At 37.0% G+C, this 18,462-nt stretch overlaps 1 pseudogene, besides 2 other annotated features; it reads left to right on the forward strand.

The window, feature by feature from the left end:
- Positions 4,478–5,035: an enhancer, noted in NCBI's record as "OCT4-NANOG hESC enhancer chr3:90462384-90462941 (GRCh37/hg19 assembly coordinates)". NCBI's record gives its function as "activates a minimal SCP1, AML or CMV promoter by ChIP-STARR-seq in naive H9 embryonic stem cells {active_cell/tissue: H9 hESC(naive)}" and the evidence as "EXISTENCE:reporter gene assay evidence [ECO:0000049][PMID:30033119]".
- Positions 6,293–6,884: an enhancer, noted in NCBI's record as "OCT4-NANOG hESC enhancer chr3:90464199-90464790 (GRCh37/hg19 assembly coordinates)". NCBI's record gives its function as "activates a minimal SCP1, AML or CMV promoter by ChIP-STARR-seq in naive H9 embryonic stem cells {active_cell/tissue: H9 hESC(naive)}" and the evidence as "EXISTENCE:reporter gene assay evidence [ECO:0000049][PMID:30033119]".
- LOC124909499 (uncharacterized) lies at positions 17,479–17,600 on the forward strand (annotated as a pseudogene).
- Positions 17,601–18,462: the final 862 nt, after the last annotated feature.

The following is an 18,462-nucleotide window of genomic DNA, read 5'->3' on the forward strand; positions in this document are numbered from 1 at the left end:
TCACAAAGATGTTTCTGAGAATGCTTCTGTGTGGTTTTTATGCGTAGATATTTCCTTTTCCACCATAGGCCTCAAAACTCTCCAAATGTCCACTTGAAGATTCTACAAAAAGAGTGTTTCAAAACTGCTCTATCAAAAGAAAGGTTCAACTCTCAGTTGAATGCACATATCACAATGATGTTTCTGAAAATGTTTCTGTCTGGTTTTTATGTGAACATATTCCCGTTTCCAACGAAGGCCACCAAGCAATCCAAATATTCACGTGCAGATTATTTGAAGAGTGTTTCACAACTGCTCTATGAAAAGGTATCTTCAAATCGGTGAGTTGAAATCAAACATCACAAAGAAGTTTCTGAGAATGCTTCTTTCTAGTTTTTATGTGAATATATTCCCATTTCCATCAAAGGTCTCAAAGCAGTCCAAATATCCACTAGCAGATTCTACGAAAACAGTGTTTCAAAACTGCTCTATGAAAAGATACCTTTTCATAGAGAAACATCACAAAGAAGTTTCTGAGAATGCTTCTGTCTAGTTTTTATGTGTAGATATTTCCTTTTCCACCATAGGCCTCAAAGTTCTCCAAATGTCCAATGGCAGATTCTACAAAAACAGTGTGTCAAAATTGCTCTATCAAAAGAAAGATTCAACTCTGTGAGTTGAATCCATCATCACAAAGAAGTTTCTGAGAATGCTTCTGTCTAGTTTTTATGTGTGGGTATTTCCATTTCCACCATAGAACTCAAAGCTCTTCAAATGTCCACTTGCAGATTCTACAAAAAGAATGTGTCAAAACTGCTCTATCAAAAGAAAGTTTCAAATCTGTGAGTTGAATGCACACATCACAAAGAAGTTTCTGAGAATGTTTTTGTATAGTTTTTATGTGGAGATATTCCTATTCCCAAAGAAGGCCTCAAAGCAGTCCAAATATCCATTTGCAGATACTACGAAAATAGTGTTTAAAAACTGCACTATGAAGACATACATTCAACACTGTGAGTCGAATGCAAACATCACAAAGAAGTTTCTGAGAAATCTTCTCTCTAGTTTTTATGTGAAGATATGTCCTTTTCCACCATAGGCCTCAAAGCTCTCCAAATGTCCACTTTCAGACTCTCCACTTGCAAAAGAAAGCTACAAACCAGGGAATTGAATGCAGACATCACAAAGAAGTTTGTGAGAATGCTTCTGTCTAGTTCTTATGTGAAGATATTCCCGTTTCCAACGAAGGCCTCAAATCTGTTCAAATATCCACTTGAAGATTGTACGAAAAGAGTGTTTCAAAACTACTCTATGAAAGGGTATCTTCAAATCTGTGAGTTGAATGCAAACATCACAAAGAAGTTTCTGAGAATGCTTCTGTCTAGTTTTTATGTGTAGATATTTCCTTTTCCAGCACAGGCCTCAAAGCTCTCAAAATGTTCACTTGCAGATTCTACAAAAGAGTGTTTCAAAACTGCTTTATAAAAGAAAGGATCAACCCTGTGAGTTGAATGCACCCATCACAAAGAAGTTTCTGAGAATGCTTCTGAATAGTTTTTATGTGAAGATATTCCCGTTTCCAACGAAGGCCTCAAAGCAGTCCATATATCCACTTGCATATCCTACGAAAAGAGTCTTTCAAGACTGCTCTATGAAAAGGTATCTTCAACTCTGTGAGTTGAATGCAAACATCACAAAGAAGTTTCTGAGAATGCTTCTGTTTAGTTTTTATGTGAAGATATTTCATTTTCCACCATAGGCCTCAATGCTCTACAAATGTCCACTTGCAGATTCTACAAAAAGAGTGTTTCCAAACTGCTCTATCAAAAGAAAGGTTCAACTCTGTGAGTTGAATGCACACATCACAAAGACGTTTATGAGAATGCTTCTGTCTAGTTTTTATGTGAAAATATTCCTGTTTACAACGAAGGCTTCAAAGCAGTCCAAATATCCACTTGCAGATATGCAAAAGAGTGTTTGAAAACTGCTCTATGAAAACATATCTTCAGCTCTGTGAGTTGAATGCAAACATCAGAAAGAAGTTTCTGAGAATGCTTCTGTGTGGTTTTTATGTGTAGATATTTCCTTTTCCACCATAGGCCTCAAAACTCTCCAAATGTCCACTTGCGGATTCTACAAAAAGACTGTTTCAGAACTGCTCTATCAAAAGAAAGGTTCAAATCTCTGAGTTGAATGCACATATCACAAAAAAGTTTCTGAGAATGTTTCTATCTGGTTTTTATATGAAGATATTCCCGTTTCCAAAGAAGGCCACAAAACAGATCAAATATTCACTTGCAGATGGTATGAAAAGAGTGTTTCAAAACTGCTCTATGAAAAGTTATCTTCAAATCTGTGAGTTGAATTCAAACATCACATAGATGTTTCTGGGAATGCTTCTGTCTAGTTTTTATGTGACGATATTCCTGTTTCCATCAAAGGCCTCAAAGCAGTCCAAATATACACTTGCAGATAATACGTAAAGAGTGTTTCGGAACTGCTCTTTGAAAAGATATTTTTCATAGAGAAACATCACAAAGAAGTTTCCGAGAATGCTTCTGTCTAGTTCTTATGTGAAGATTTTGCCGTTTCCAACCAAGGCCTCAAATCTGTCCAAATATCCACTTGCAGATTGTACGAAAAGAGTGTTTCAAATCTGTTCTCTGAAAAGGTATCTTCAAGTCTGTGAGTTGAATGCAAACATCAGAAACAAGTTTCTGATAATGCTTCTGTGTGGTTTTTATGTGTAGATATTTCCTTTTCCACCATAGGCCTCAAAGCTCTCCAAATGTCCACTTGCAGATTCTACAAAAAGAGTGTTTCGAAACTGCTCTATCAAAAGAAAGGTTCAAATCTGCAAATTGAATGCACATATCACAAAGCAGTTTCTGAGAAAGTTTCTCTCTGGTTTTTATGTGAAGATATTCCCGTTTCCAACGAAGGCCACAAAGCAGTCCAAATATCCACTTGTAGATTGTATGAAAAGAGCGTTTCAAAACTGCTCTATGCAAAGGTATCTTCAAATCTGTGAGTTGAATTCAAATATCAGAAACAAGTTTCTGAGAATGCTTCTGTCTAGTTTTTATGTGAAGATATTCCCGTTTCCATCGAAGCCTCAAAACAGTCCAAATATCCACTTGCAGATTCTACGAAAAGAGTGTTCCAAAACTGTTCTATGAAAAGATACCTTTTCATAGAGAAACATCACAAAGAATTTCTGAGAATGCTTCTGTCTAGTTTTTATGTGAAGATATTTCCTTTTCCACCATAGGCCTCAAAGCTCTCCAAATGTCCACTTGCAGATTCTACAAAAAGAGTGTGTTAAAACTGATCTATAAAAAGACAGGTTATACTCTGTGAGTTGAATGCAAACATCACAAAGAAATTTCTGAAAGTGCTTCTGTCTGGTTTTTATGTGAAGATATTTCCTTTCCCATTTAAGCCTCAAAGCTCTCCAACTGTCCACTTGCAGATTCTACAAAAAGAGTGTTTCAAAACTGCTCTATCAAAAGAATAGTTCAAATCTGTGAGTTGAATGCACACACCACGAAGATGTTTCTGAGAATGTTTCTGTCTAGTTTTTATGTGAAGATGATATACCCGTTTCTAACGAAGGCCTCACATCAGTCCAAATATCCACTTGCAGATTCTACCAAAACAATGTTTCAAAACTGCTATATGAAAAGGTACATTCAACTCTGTGAATTGAATGCAAACATCACAAAGCAGTTTCTGAGAATGCTTCTGTCTAGTTTTTATGTGAAGATATTTCCTTTTCCACCTTAGGCCTCAAAGCCCTCCAAATGTCCACCTGCACAATCTACAAAACCAGTGTTTCAAAACTGCTCTATAAAAAGCAAGGTTCAACCCTGTGGATTGAATGGACATATCAAAAGAAGTTTCTGAGAATGCTTCTGTCTAGTTTTTATGTGAAGGTATTCCCTTTTGCAACGGTGGCCTCAAAGCAGTCCAAATACTCTACGAAAAGAGTGTTTCAAAACTGCTCTATGAAAAGTTATGTTCAACTGTGTGAGTTGAATGAAAACATTACAAAGAAGTTTCTGAGAATGCTTCTGTCTAGTTTTTATCTGAAGATATTTCCTTTTCCACCATAAGCTTCAAAGCTCTCCAAATGTCCAGTTGCAGATACTACAAAAAGAGTGTTTCAAAACTGCTCTATCAAAAGAAAGATTCAACTCTGTGAATTGATTGCACACGTCTTCAAGATGTTTCTGAGAATGCTTCTGTCTAGTTTTTATGTGAAGATACTCCCATTTACAACGAATTCCTCAAAGCCGTCCAAATATTCACTTGCAGATTCTATGAAAAGAGTGTTTCAAAACTGCTCTGTGAAAAGGTATCCTCAACGCTGTGAGTTGAATGCAAACAAACATCACAATGGAGTTTCTCTGAATGCTTCTGTCTAGTTTTTATGCGAAGATATTTCCTTTTCCACCATAGGCCTCAAAGCTCTCCAAATGTCTGCCTGCAGATTCTACAAAAAGAGTGTTTCAAAACTGCTATATCAAAAGAAAGGTTGAACTCTGTGAGTTGAATGCACACAACAAAAAGTAGTTTGAGAGAATGCTTCTGTCTAGTTTTTATGTGAAGATATTCCCTTTTCCAACGAAGGCCTCAAAGCAATCCAAATATCCACTTGCAAATCCTACCAAAAGAGTGTTTCTAAATGCTCTATGAAAAAGTATGTTCAACTCTGTGAGTTGAATGCCTACATCACAAAGAAGTTTCTGAGAATGCTTCTCACTAATTTTTATGTGAAGATATTTCCTTTTCCACCAAAGGCCTCAAAGCTTTCCAAATGTCCACTTGCAGATTCCCCACAAAGAGTATTTCAAAACTGCTCTGCCAAAAGATAAGTTCAACTCTGTGAGTTGAGTGCACACATCACAAATAAGTTTGTGAGAATTCTTCTGTCTAGCTTTTATGTGAAGATATTCCCCTTTCCAACGAAGGCCTCAAAGTTGTCAAAATACCCACTTGAAGATCCTACGAATAGAGTGTTTCAAAACTGCCCTATGAAAATGTGTCTTCAAATCTGTGAGTTGAATGCAAACATCACAAAGATGTTTCTGAGAATGATTCTGTCTAGTTTTTATGTGAAGTTATTTCCTTTTCCACCATAGGCCTCAAAGCGCTCCAAATATCCACTTGCAGATTCTACAGAAAGAGTGTTTGAAAACTGCTCAATCAAGGGAAAGTTTCAACTCTGTGAGTTGAAAGCACACAACACAAAGAGGTTTCTGAGAATGCTCCTGTCTAGTTTTGATGTGAGGACATTTCTTTTTCTGCTGTACGATGCAAAGGGCTTCAAATATCCACTTGTAGATTCCACAAAAAGAGTATTTCAAAACTACTCTATCAAAAGAAAGTTTCAACTTTGTGAGATGAATGCACAGAACACAAAGAAGTTTCTGAGAATATTTCTGTCTAGTTTTTATGTGAAGATATTTCCTTTTCCACCATAGGCCTCAAAGTTCTCCAAATATCGACTTGAAGATTCTACAAAGAGAGTGTTTCTAAACTCCTCAATTAAAGGAAAGGTTCAACTCTGTGAGTTGAATGCACACAACACAAAGAAGTTTCTAAGAATGCTTTTGTGTAGTTTTTACGTGAGGACATTTCCTTTTCCACCGTAGGCTTCAAAGCACTGCAAATATCCACTTGCTTATTCTACAAAAGAGTGTTTCAAAACTGCTCTATTAAAAGAAAGGATCAACTCTGTGACTTGAATGCACACTTCACTAAGTAGTTTCTGAGAATTTTTCTGCTAGATTTTATATGATGATATTTCCTTTTCCACCATAGGCCTCAAATCGCTCCAAATATCCACTTGCAGGTTCTACAAAAAGAGGGTTTCAAAACTGCTCTATCAAAAGAAATGTTCACCTCAGTGAGTTGAATGCACCCAACACAAAGAAGGTTCTGAGAATGCTTCTGTCTAGTTTTTATGTGAAGATATTTCCTTTAACACCATAATCCTCAAAGTGCTCCAAATATACACTTGCGGATTCTAGGAAAAGAGTGTTTCAAAACTGCTCTATCAAAAGGAATGTTCAACTCTGTGAGTGGAATGCAAACATCACAAAGGAGTTTCTGAGAATGGCTCTGTCTAGATTTTATATGACGATATTTGCTTTTTTATGATAGACCTTAATGCGGTCAAATTATCCACTTGCAGTTTCTACACAGAGTCTTTCAAAATTGCTCTGTCAAAATGAAAGTTCAACTCTGTGAGTTGAATACACACATCAAAAACTTTCTGAGAATTTTTCTGTCTAGTTTTTATGTGAAGGTATTCCCGTTTCCACAGAAGGCCTCAAAGGCGTTCAAATATCCACTTGCAGGTCCTACAAAAAGAGTGTTTCAAAACTGCTATATGAAAAGAAATGTTCAAATCTATGAGTTGAAGACAAACATCTCAAAGAAGTTTTTGGTAATACCTCTGCGTAGTTTCAATGTGAAGATATTTACTTTTTTACCATAGGCATCAAAGCGCTCCAAATGTCCACTTGCAGATTCAACAAATAGAGTGTTTCAAAGTTGCTCTATCAAAAGAAAGGTTCAACTCTGTGAGTTGAACACAAACATCACAAAGTAGTTTCTGAGAATGCTTCTGTCTAGTTTTTATATGAAGATATTTCCATTTCTACAGTAGGTCCCAAAGAGCTCCAAATATCCACTTGCAGATTCTACAAAAACAGAGTTTTAAAATTGTTATATCAAAAGGAAGGTTCAACTCTCTGAGCTGAATGCACATATCACAAAGAAGTTTCTGAGAGTGCTTCTGTCTAGTTTTTATGTGAAGATATTCCGGTTTCCACAGAAGGCTTCAAGTAACTCAAAGTATCCATTTGCAGATTCTACAAAAAGAGTGTTTCAAAACTGCTCTGTCAAAACAAAGTTTCAACTCTGTAAGTTGAATGCACACATCATAAAGAAGTTTCTGAGAATTCTTCTGTCTACTTTTTATATGAAGACACTTCTTTTCCACCATAGGCCTCAAAGCGCTCCAAATATTCACTTGCAAATCGTACAAATAGACTGTTTCAAAACTTCTCTATCTAAAGGAAGGTTCAACTCTGTGAGTTGAATGCACACATCACAAAGAAGTTTCTGAGAATGCTTCTGTCTAGTTTTTATGTGAAGATATTCTCGTTTACACCATAAGCCTCAAAACGGTTGAAATATCCACTTGCAGATTCTACAAAAAGAGTGTTTCAAAACTGCTCTATGAAAAGGAAAGTTCAACTCTGTGAGTTGAATACAAACATCACAAAGTAGTTCCTTAGGATGCTTCTGTCTAGTTTTTATGTAAAGATATTTCCTTTTTCACCACTGACATCAAAGTGCTCAAAATGTCCACTTACAGATTCTACAAAAACAATGTTTAAAAACTGCTCTATCAAAAGAAAGGTTGCATTCTGTGAGTTGAATGCACACAGCTCAAAGTAGTTTCCTAGATTACTTCTGTCTAGCTTTTCTATGAAGATATTTCCTTTTCTACCATAGACCTCAAAACGCTCCAAATATCCACTTACAGATTCTACAAAAAGAGTGTTTCAAAACTGCTCTATGAAAAGCAAGGTTCAACTCTGTGAGTTGAATGCAAACATCACAAAGTAGTTTCTAAGAATTCCTCTCTCTAGTTTTTATATGATGATATTTCCTTTTCTCCCATAGGCCTCAATGAGCTCCAATTATCCACTTGCAGATTCTACAAAAAGAGTGTTTCAAAAACTGATCTACCAAAAGTAATGTTCAACTCTGTGAATTGAATGCACACATCACAAACGACTTTCTAAGGATGCTTCTGTCTACTTCTTATGTGAAGATATTCCCGTTTCCAACGCAGACCTCAAAGCTCTCCAAATGTCCCCTTGCAGATTCTACAGAAAGTGTGTTTCAAAACTACTCTATCAAAGGAAGGTTCAACTCTGTGAGTTGAATGTGCACATCACAAAGAACTTTCTGAGAATGCTTCTCTCTAGTTTTTGTGTGAAGATATTCCTGTTTCCACCGCAGGCCACAAAGATCTCCAGATATCCACTTGCAGATTCCACAGAAAGACTGTTCCAAAACTACTCTATCAAAAGGAAGGTTCAGCTCTCTAATTTGAATGCACAAGTCACAAAGAAGATTTTGAGAATGCTTCTGTCTAGTTTTCTTGTGACGATATTCCCTTTTTCCACCGAAGGCCCCAAAGCACTACAAATATCCACTTGCGTTCCTACAAAAACAGTGTTTCAGAACTTCTCTATCTAAAGGAAGTTTCAACTCTCTGAGTTGAAAGCACACATCACAAAGAAGTTTCTGCGAATGTTTCTGTCTAATTTTTATGTGAAGATATTCCCGTTTCCACCAAAGGCCTGAAATCTGTCCAAATATCCACCTGCAGATTCTACAAAAACACTGTTTGAAAACTCCTCTATGAAAAGGAATGTTCAACTCTTCGAGTTGAATGCAAACATCACAAAGAAGTTTCTGAGAATGCTTCTGTCCACTCTTTATGGGAAGATACTTCATTTTCCACCATAGGAATCAACGAGCTCCAAATGTCCACTTGCAGATTCTACAAAACGACTGTTTCAAAACTGCTCAATCAAAAGAAAGGTTGAATACTGTGAGATGAGTGCACACATCACAAAGTAGTTTCTGAGAATGCTTCTGTATAGTTTTTATGTGAAGATATTTCCTTTCGTACCATAGGCCTCAAAGCGCTAGAAATATCCACTTGCAGATTCTACAAAAAGAGTGTTTCAAAACTGCTCTATCAAAAGGAAGGTTCAACTCTCTGAGTTGAATGCACACATCAAAGAAGTTTCAGAGAATGCTTCTGTCTACTTTTTGTGTGAAGACATTCCCGTTTCCACCATAGGCATCAAAGAGCTCCAAATATCCACTTGCAGATCCTACAAAAAGCGTTTTTCAAAACTGCTCTATAAAAAGAAAAGTTTAACCCTGTTAGTTGAATGCATACATCACAAAGAAGTTTCTGAGAATGATTCTTTCTACTAGTTATGTGAAGATACACCCTTTTCCACCACAGGACTAAAAGCGCTCCAGATATCTACTTGCAGATTCTACAAAAAGAGTGTTTCAAAACTGCTCTATGAAAGGGAAGGTTCAACTCTGTGAGTTGAATGCACACATCACAAAGAAGTTTCTCAGAGTGCTTCTATCTAGTTTTTAATGTGAAGATATTGCCGTTTCCACCAAAGGCCTCAAAGCCGTCCAAATATACACTTGCAGATTCTACAAAAAGAGTGTTTCAAAACTGCTCCATCAAAAGGAAGTTTCAACTCTGTGAGTTGAATGCACACATCACAAAGTGGTTTGTGAGAATGGTTCTGTCTAGTTTTTATATGAAGATATCACCTTTTCTACCATAGGCCTCAAAGCGCTCCACATTTCCTCTTGCAAACTCTACAAAAAGAGTATTTCAAAACTGCTCTATCGAAAGAAAGTTTCAACTCTGTGAGTTGAATGCACACATCACAAAGAAGTTTCTGAGAATGCCGCTGTCTAGTTTACAGGTGAAGATATTCCTGTTTCCACAGAACGCCTCAAAGCTGTCCAAATGTCTACTTGCAGATTCTACAAAAAGAGGGTATCAAAACTGCTCTATCAAAAGATAGGTTCAACTTTGTGAGTTGAATGCACACATCTCAAAGAAGTTTCTGAGAATGTTTCTGTCCAGTGTTTAAGTGAAGATATTTCCTTTTCCAGCACAGGCCTCAAAGCCCTCCAAATGTACACTTGCAGTTTCTACAAAAATACTGTTTCAAAACTGCTCTATGAAAAGGAAAGTTCAACTCTGTCAGTTGAATGCACACATCACAAAGAAGTTTCTGAGAATGCTTCTGTCTAGTTTTTATATAAAGATATTTGCTTTTCTACCATAGGCGTCAAATCACTACAAATATCCACTTGCAGATTCTACAAAAAGAGTGTTTCAAAACTGCTCTATCAAAAGGAAAGTTCAACTCTGTGAGTTGAATGCACACATCACACACAAGTTTCTGAGAAAGTTTCTCTCTAGTTTCTGTGTGAAGATATTTCCATTTCCACCACAGGCCTTAAAGCCCTCCAAATGTCCACTTGCAGATTCTTCACAACGAGTGTCTCAAAACTGCTCTATCAAAGAAAGGTTCGAGCCTGTTAGTTGAATGCACAGATCACAAAGAAGTTCCTGAGAATCCCTCTGTCTAGTTTTTATGTGAAGATATTTCCTTTTCCACCACAGGCCTCAAAGACTTATAAATATACACAGGCACATTCTACAAAAAGGCTGTTCCAAAACTTCTCTATGAAAAGTGATGTTCTTGTAAATTTGTTTGAGTTCATTGTAGATTCTAGATATTAGCCCTTTGTCAGATGAGTAGGTTGTGAAAATTTTCTCCCATGTTGTAGGTTGCCTGTTCACTCTGATGGTAGTTTCTTTTGCTGTGCAGAAGCTCTTTAGTTTAATTAGATCCCATTTGTCAATTTTGTCTTTTGTTGCCATTGCTTTTGGTGTTTTGGACATGAAGTCCTTGCCCACGCCTATGTCCTGAATGGTAATGCCTAGGTTTTCTTCTAGGGTTTTTATGGTTTTAGGTCTAATGTTTAAATCTTTAATCCATCTTGAATTGATTTTTGTATAAGGTGTAAGGAAGGGATCCAGTTTCAGCTTTCTACATATGGCTAGCCAGTTTTCCCAGCACCATTTATTAAATAGGGAATCCTTTCCCCATTTCTTGTTTTTCTCAGGTTTGTCAAAGATCAGATAGTTGTAGATATGTGGCGTTATTTCTGAGGGCTCTGTTCTGTTCCATTGATCTATATCTCTGTTTTGGTACCAGTACCATGCTGTTTTGGTTACTGTAGCCTTGTAGTATAGTTTGAAGTCAGGTAGTGTGATGCCTCCAGCTTTGTTCTTTTGGCTTAGGATTGACTTGGCTATGCGGGCTCTTTTTTGGTTCCATATGAACTTTACAGGATTAAGAATCTCACTCAAAGCCGCTCAACTACATGGAAACTGAACAACCTGCTCCTGAATGACTACTGGGTACATAACGAAATGAAGGCAGAAATAAAGATGTTCTTTGAAACCAACGAGAACAAAGACACAACATACCAGAATCTCTGGGACACATTCAAAGCAGTGTGTAGAGAGAAACTTATAGCACTATATGCCTACAAGAGAAAGCAGGAAAGATCCAAAATTGACACCCTAACATCACAATTAAAAGAACTAGAAAAGCAAGAGCAAACACATTCAAAAGCTAACAGAAGGCAAGAAATAACTAAAATCAGAGCAGAACTGAAGGAAATAGAGACACAAAGCTCTTCAAAAAATCAATGAATCCAGGAGCTGGTTTTTTGAAAGGATCAACAAAATTGATAGACCACTAGCAAGACTAATAAAGAAAAAAAGAGAGAAGAATCAAATAGATGCAATAAAAAATGATAAAGGGGATATCACCACCGATCCCACAGAAATACAAACTACCATCAGAGAATACTACAAACACCTCTACACAAATAAACTAGAAAATCTAGAAGAAATGGATACATTCCTCGACACATACACTCTCCCAAGACTAAACCAGGAAGAAGTTGAATCTCTGAATAGAACAATAACAGGATCTGAAATTGTGGCAATAATCAATAGTTTACCAACCAAAAAGAGTCCAGGACCAGATGGATTCACAGCCGAATTCTACCAGAGGTACAAGGAGGAACTGGTACCATTCCTTCTGAAACTATTCCAATCAATAGAAAAAGAGGGAATCCTCCCTAACTCATTTTATGAGGCTAGCATCATTCTGATACCAAAGCCAGACAGAGACACAACCAAAAAAGAGAATTTTAGACCAATATCCTTGATGAACATTGATGCAAAAGTCCTCAATAAAATACTGGCAAACCGAATCCAGCAGCACATCAAAAAGCTTATCCACCATGATCAAGTGGGCTTCAACCCTGGGATGCAAGGCTGGTTCAATATATGCAAATCAGTAAATGTAATCCAGCATATAAACAGAACCAAAGACAAAAACCACATGATTATCTCAGTAGATGCAGAAAAGGCCTTTGACAAAATTCAACAACCCTTCATGCTAAAAACTTTCAATAAATTAGGTATTGATGGGACGTGTCTGAAAATAATAAAAGCTATCTATGACAAACCCACAGCCAATATCGTACTGAATGGGCAAAAACTGGAAGCATTCCCTTTGAAAACTGACACAAGACAGGGATGCCCTTTCTCACCACTCCTATTCAACATAGTGTTGGAAGTTCTGGCCAGGGCAATTAGGCAGGAGAAAGAAATAAAGGGTATTCAATTAGGAAAAGAAGAAGTTAAATTGTCCCTGTTTGCAGACTACATGATTGTAAATCTAGAAAACCCCATTGTCTCAGCCCAAAATCTCCTTAAGCTGATAGGCAACTTCAGCAAAGTCTCAGGATACAAAATCAGTGTACAAAAATCACAAGCATTCTTATACACCAACAACAGACAAACAGAGAGCGAAATCATGAGTGAACTCCCATTCACAATTGCTTCGAAGAGAATAAAATATCTAGGAATCCAATTCAGAAGGGATGTGAAGGGCCTCTTCAAGGAGAACTACAAACCACTGCTCAATGAAATAAAAGAGGATACAAACAAATGGAAGAACATTCCATGCTCATGGGTAGGAAGAATCAATATCGTGAAAATGGCCATACTGCCCAAGGTAATTTACAGATTCAATGCCATCCCCATCAAGCTACCAATTACTTTCTTCACAGAATTCTTTCTAGTTCTTATGTAAGGATATTCCCGTTTCCAACAAAGGCCTCAAAGCGGTCCAAATATCCACTTGCAGATATTTACAAAAAGTGTGTTTCAGAACTGGTCTATCCAAAGACAGCTTCACCTCTGTGAGTTAAATGCACACATCACAAGGTAGTTTCTGAGAATTCTTCTGTCTATTATTTATAAGGATATTACCTTTTCTATCATAGGCCTCAAAGTACTCAAATGTCCACTTGCAGATTCTACAAAAAGATTGTTTCAAAACTGCTCTATCAAAAGGAAGGTTCAACACTGAGAGTTCAATGCGCACATCAAAAACTAGTTTCTGAGAATTCTTCTATCTAGTGTTTATTTGAAGATATTCCCATTTCCAACAAAGGCCTCAAAGCGGTCCAAATATCCACTTGCAGATTCGACCAAAAGAGTTTTTCAAAACTGCCCTATCAAAAGAAATGTTCACCTCTGTGAGTTGAATGCACACATCTCAAAGTAGTTTCTGAGAATGCTTCAGTATAGTTTTTGTTTGAAGATATTCCCATATCCAGAGAAGGCCTCAAAGTTGCCAAATATCCACTGACAGCTTCCACAAAAAGTGTGCTTCAAAACTGCTCTATCAAAAGGAAGGTTCAACTCTGTGAGTTGAATGCACACATGACAGAGAAGTTTCTGAGAATGCTTCTGTCTATTTTCTATGTGAAGATATTTCCTTTTCCACCACAGGCCTCAAAGCGCTCCAAAAGTCCAACTGCAAATTCTTCAAAATAAGTGTTTCAAAACTGCTCTATCAAAAGAAAGGTTCAACTCTGTGAGTTGAGTGCACACATCATAAAGAGGTTTCTGAGAATGGTTCTGTCTAGTTTTTTATATGAAGATATTTGTGTTTCCACCATAGGCCTCAAAACGATCCAAATATCCACTTGCAGATTCTACAAAAAGAGGGTTTCAAATGTCCTCTATCAAAAAGAATGTTCAAATCTCTGAATGGAATGCACACATCACTAATAAATTTCTGAGAATGCTTCTGTCTAGTTTTTAGGTGAAAATATTCCCGTTTCCAACGAAGTCCTCAAAGCTGTCCAAATACCCACTTGCAGATTCTACAAAAAGAGTGTTTCAACACTGCTCTGTCAAAAAGAAAATTCAACTCTGTGAGTTGAATGCACACATCACAAAGAAGTTTATGAGAATGCTTCTGTCTGCTTTTTATTTGATGGTATTCCCATTTCCAATGAAGGCCACAAAGCACTCCAAATGTCCACTTACAGATTCTTCAAAAAGAGTTTTTCAAAACTGCTCTTCCAAAAGGAAGGCTCAACTCTGTGAGTTGAATGCACACATCACAAAGAAGTTTCTGTGAATGCTTCTGTCAAGTTTTATATGAAGATAATTTGTTTTCTACGATAGGCCTCAAAGCGCTCCAAATATCCACTTGCAGATTCTACAAAAAGAGTGTTTCAAAACTGCTCTATCAAAAGGAAGGTTCAACTCTGTGAGTTGAATGCACACATCACAAAGAGGATTCTGTGAAAACTTCTTTCTAGTTTCTATGTGAGGATATTTCCTTTACTACCACAGGACTCAAAGCGCTGTAAATATCAACTTGCAGATACTTAAAAAAGAGTGTTTCAAAATGGCTCTATCAAAAAAAGATTCATCTCTGTGAGTTGAATGCACACATCACAAAGTACTTTCTGAAAATCCTTCTGTCTAGTTTTTACGTGAGGATATTCCCGTTTCCACCGCAGGCCTAAATGCCCTCAAAATGTCCACATGCAGATTCTACAAAAAGAGGGTTTCAGAACTGCTCTACCAAAATGAAGGTTCAACTCTGTGAGTTTAATGCACACACCACAAAGTAGTTTCTGAAAATGCTTCTGTCTAGTTTTTAAGTGAGGATATTCCCGTTTCCAACGAAGTCCTCAAAGCAGTCCAAATATCCCCTTGCAGATTCGACAAAAAGAGTGTTTCAAAACTGCTCTATCAAAAGAAAAGTTTACCTCTGTGAGTTGAATGCAGACATCAAGAAGACATTTCTGAGAATGCTTCTGTCTAGTTTTACATGAAGATGTTTGCTATTCTATCATAGGCCTCAAAGTGATCCAAATATTCAATTGCAGATTCTACAAAAGACTGTTTCAAAATTCTCTATCAAAAGGAAGGTTCAACTCTGTGAGTTGAATGCACACATCACAACAATGTTTCTCAAAATGCTTCTGACTAGTTTTTATGTGAGGATATTCCCGTTTCCACCTCAGACCTCAAAACCCTACAAATGTCCACATGCAGATTCTACAAAAAGAGTGTTTCAAAACTGCTGTATCAACAGGAACGTTCAACTCTGTGAGTTGAATGCACAGATCACAAAGAAGTTTCTGAGAATTCTTTTAAATAGTTTTTATTTGAAGATATTCCCATTTCCAAATAAGGCCTCAAAGCGGTCCAAATATCCACTTGCAGAGTCTTCAAAAAGAGTGTTTCAAAAATGCCATATCAAAAGGATGGTTCAACTCTGTGAGTTGAATGCACACATCACAAAGAAGTCTCTGAGAATGCTTCAGTCTAATTATTTGAAGACATTCCCTTTTCCAACGAATGCCTCAAAACGCTCCAAATATCCACTTGCAGATTCTACAAAAAGAGGGTTTCAAAAGTGCTCTATCAAAAGGAATTTTCAACTCTGTGAGTTGAATGCACACATCCCAAAGAAATTTCTGAGAATACTTCTGTCTAGTTTTTATGTGAAGATATTTACTTTTCTACCTTAGGCCTCAAAGTGCTCAAAATATCCACTTGCAGATACTACCAAAAGAGTGTTTCAAAACTGCTCCGTTAAAAGAAAGGTTCACCTCTGTGAGTTGAATACACACATTACAAAAAACTTTCTGAGAATGCTTCTGTCTAGTGATTAGGTGAAGATATTTGCTTTTCAACGATAGGCTTCAAATCTGTCCAAATATTCACTTGCAGATTCTATAAAAATATTTTTTCAAAACTGTTCAATCAAAAGGAAAGTTCAACACTGTGAGTTGAATGCACAGATCACAAACAAGTTTCTGAGAATGCTTCTGTCCAGTTTTTATTTGACGATATTTCCATTTCCAATGAAGACCTCAAAGTGTTTCAAATAGCCACTTGCAGATTATACAAAAAGAGTGTTTGAAAACTGCTCTATCAAAAGTAAGGTTCGACTCTGTGAGTTGAATGCACACTTCACCAAGAAGTTTCTGAGAATGCTTCTGTTTAGTTTTTATATGAAGATATTAACATTTCAACTGTAGGCCTCAAAGTGGTCCAAATATCCACTTGCAGATTCCACAAAAAGAGGGTTTCAAAACTGCTCTATCAAAAGGAAGGTTCAACTCTGTGAGCTGAATGTACATGTGACAGAGAAGTTTCTGAGAATGCTTCTGTCTAGTTTCTATGTGAAGATATTTCCTTTTCCACCACAGGCCTCAAAGCGCTCCAAATGTCCAACTACAGATCCTTCAAAATAAGTGTTTCAAAACTGCTCTATCAAAAGAAAGGTTCGACTCTGTAAGTTGAATGCACACATCGTAAAGAAGTTTCTGAGAATGGTTCTGTCTAGTTTTTATATGAAGATATTTGCGTTTCCATCATACGCCTCAAAGCGATCCAAATATCCACTTGCAGATTCTACAAAAAGAGGGTTTCAGAAGTCCTCTATCAAAAAGAATGTTCTAATCTCTGAGTTGAATGCACACATCACAAAGGAGTTTCTGAAAAAGCTTCTGTCTAATTTTTATTTGAAGATATTTCCTTTTCTACCATAGACCTCAAAGCGCTCCAAATGTCCACTTGGAGATTCTCTAAAAAGAGTGTTTCAAAACTGCTCTATCAAAAGGAATGGTCAACTCTGTGAGATGAATGCACACATCACAAAGAATTTTCTGAAAGTTCTTCTGTATAGCTTTTATGTGAGAATATTCCCCTTCCAACGAAGGCCACAAAGCGGTCCAAATATCCACTTGCAGATTCTATGAAAAGAGTGTTTCAAAACTGCTCTATCAAAAGGAAGGTTCAACTCTGAGAGTTGAAGACACACATCACAAAGGAGTTTCTGAGAATGCTTCTGTCTAGTTTTTATTTTTAGATATTCCCGTTTCCAACGAAGGCATTAAAGAGTTCCAAATATCCACTTGCAGATTATACGAAAAGAGTTTTTCAAAACTGCTCTATCAAAAGGAAGGTTCTACTCTGTGAGTTGAAGGCACACATCACAAAGAAGTTTCTGAGAATGCTTCCGTCTGGTTTCTATGTAACGATATTTCCTTTTCCACCACAGGACTCAAAGCCCTCCAAATGTCCAGTTGCAGATTCTATAAAAAGATGGTTTCTAAACTGCTCTTTCAAAAGGAAGGGTCAAATTTGTTAAATGAATGCACACAACACAAAGAAGTTTCTGAGAATGCCTCTGTCTAGTCATTTGAAGATATTCCCGTTCCCAATGAAGGCTTCAAAGCGGTCCAAATATCCACCTGCAGATTCTACAAAAAGAGTGTTTCAAAACAGCTCTATCAAAAGGAAGGTTCAACTATGTGAGTTGAATGCACACATAACGAAGAGGTTTCTGAGAATAGTTCTGTCTACTTTCTATGGGAAGATATTTCCTTTTCCACCACAGGCCTCAAAACCCTCCAAATATCCACTTGCAGACTCTACAAAAAGAGTGCTTCAAGACTGTACTTTCAGGGATCATTTCTATAGTTTGTTACAAAAAGAGTGCTTCAAAACTCCTCTACCAAAAGGAAGGTTCAACTCTTTGAGTTGAATGCACACATAAAAAAGAAGTTTCTGAGAATGCTTCTGTCTAGTTTTTATATGAAGATATTTCCTTTTCAAGCATAGGTCTCAAAGTGCTTCAAATGTCCATTTGCAGATTCTACAAAAAGACTGTTTCAAAACTGCTCTATGAAAAATATTGTTCAACTCTGTGAGTTGAATGCACACATCACCAAGAAGTTTCTGAAAATGCTTCTGTCTAGGTTTTATTTGAAGATATTTCCTTTTCTACCCTAGGCCTCCAAGTGCTCCAAATGTCCACTTGCAGATTCTACAAAAAGAGTGTTTCAAACCTGCTCTATCAAAAGTAATGTTCAACTCTGTGAGTTGAATGCACACATCACAAAGTACTTTCTGAGAATGCTTCTGCCTAATTTTTATGTGAGAATATTCCCGTTTCCAACGAAGGCCTACAAGCTGACCCAATATTCACCTGCCGATTCTCCAAAAAGAGTGTTTCAAAACTGCTGTATCAAAAGAAAGGTTCACCTCTGTGAGTAGAATGCACACATCACAAAACACTTTCTTAGAATGCTTCTGTCTAGTTTTTATGTGAAGATATTCGCTTTTCTACCATAGGCCTCGAAGCACTCCAAATCTTCACTTGCAGATTCTACAAAAAGAGTGTTTCAAAACTACTCTATAAAAAAGAAGGTTCAACTCTGGGAGTTGAATGCACACATCACAAAGAAATTTCTGAGAATGCTTCTGTGTAGTGTCTATTTGAAGATATTTCCTTTTCCCCACAGGCCTTAAAGCGCTCCAAATGTCAACTTGTCAATACTACAAAAAGAGTGTTTCAAAACTGCTCTATCAAAAGAAAGGTTGAACTCTGTGAGGTGTATGCATACATCACAAAGAAATTTCTGAGAATTCCT

The sequence above is a fragment of the Homo sapiens genome, chromosome 3 (assembly GCF_000001405.40).
Source record: "Homo sapiens chromosome 3, GRCh38.p14 Primary Assembly".
Lineage (NCBI taxonomy): Eukaryota > Metazoa > Chordata > Mammalia > Primates > Hominidae > Homo > Homo sapiens.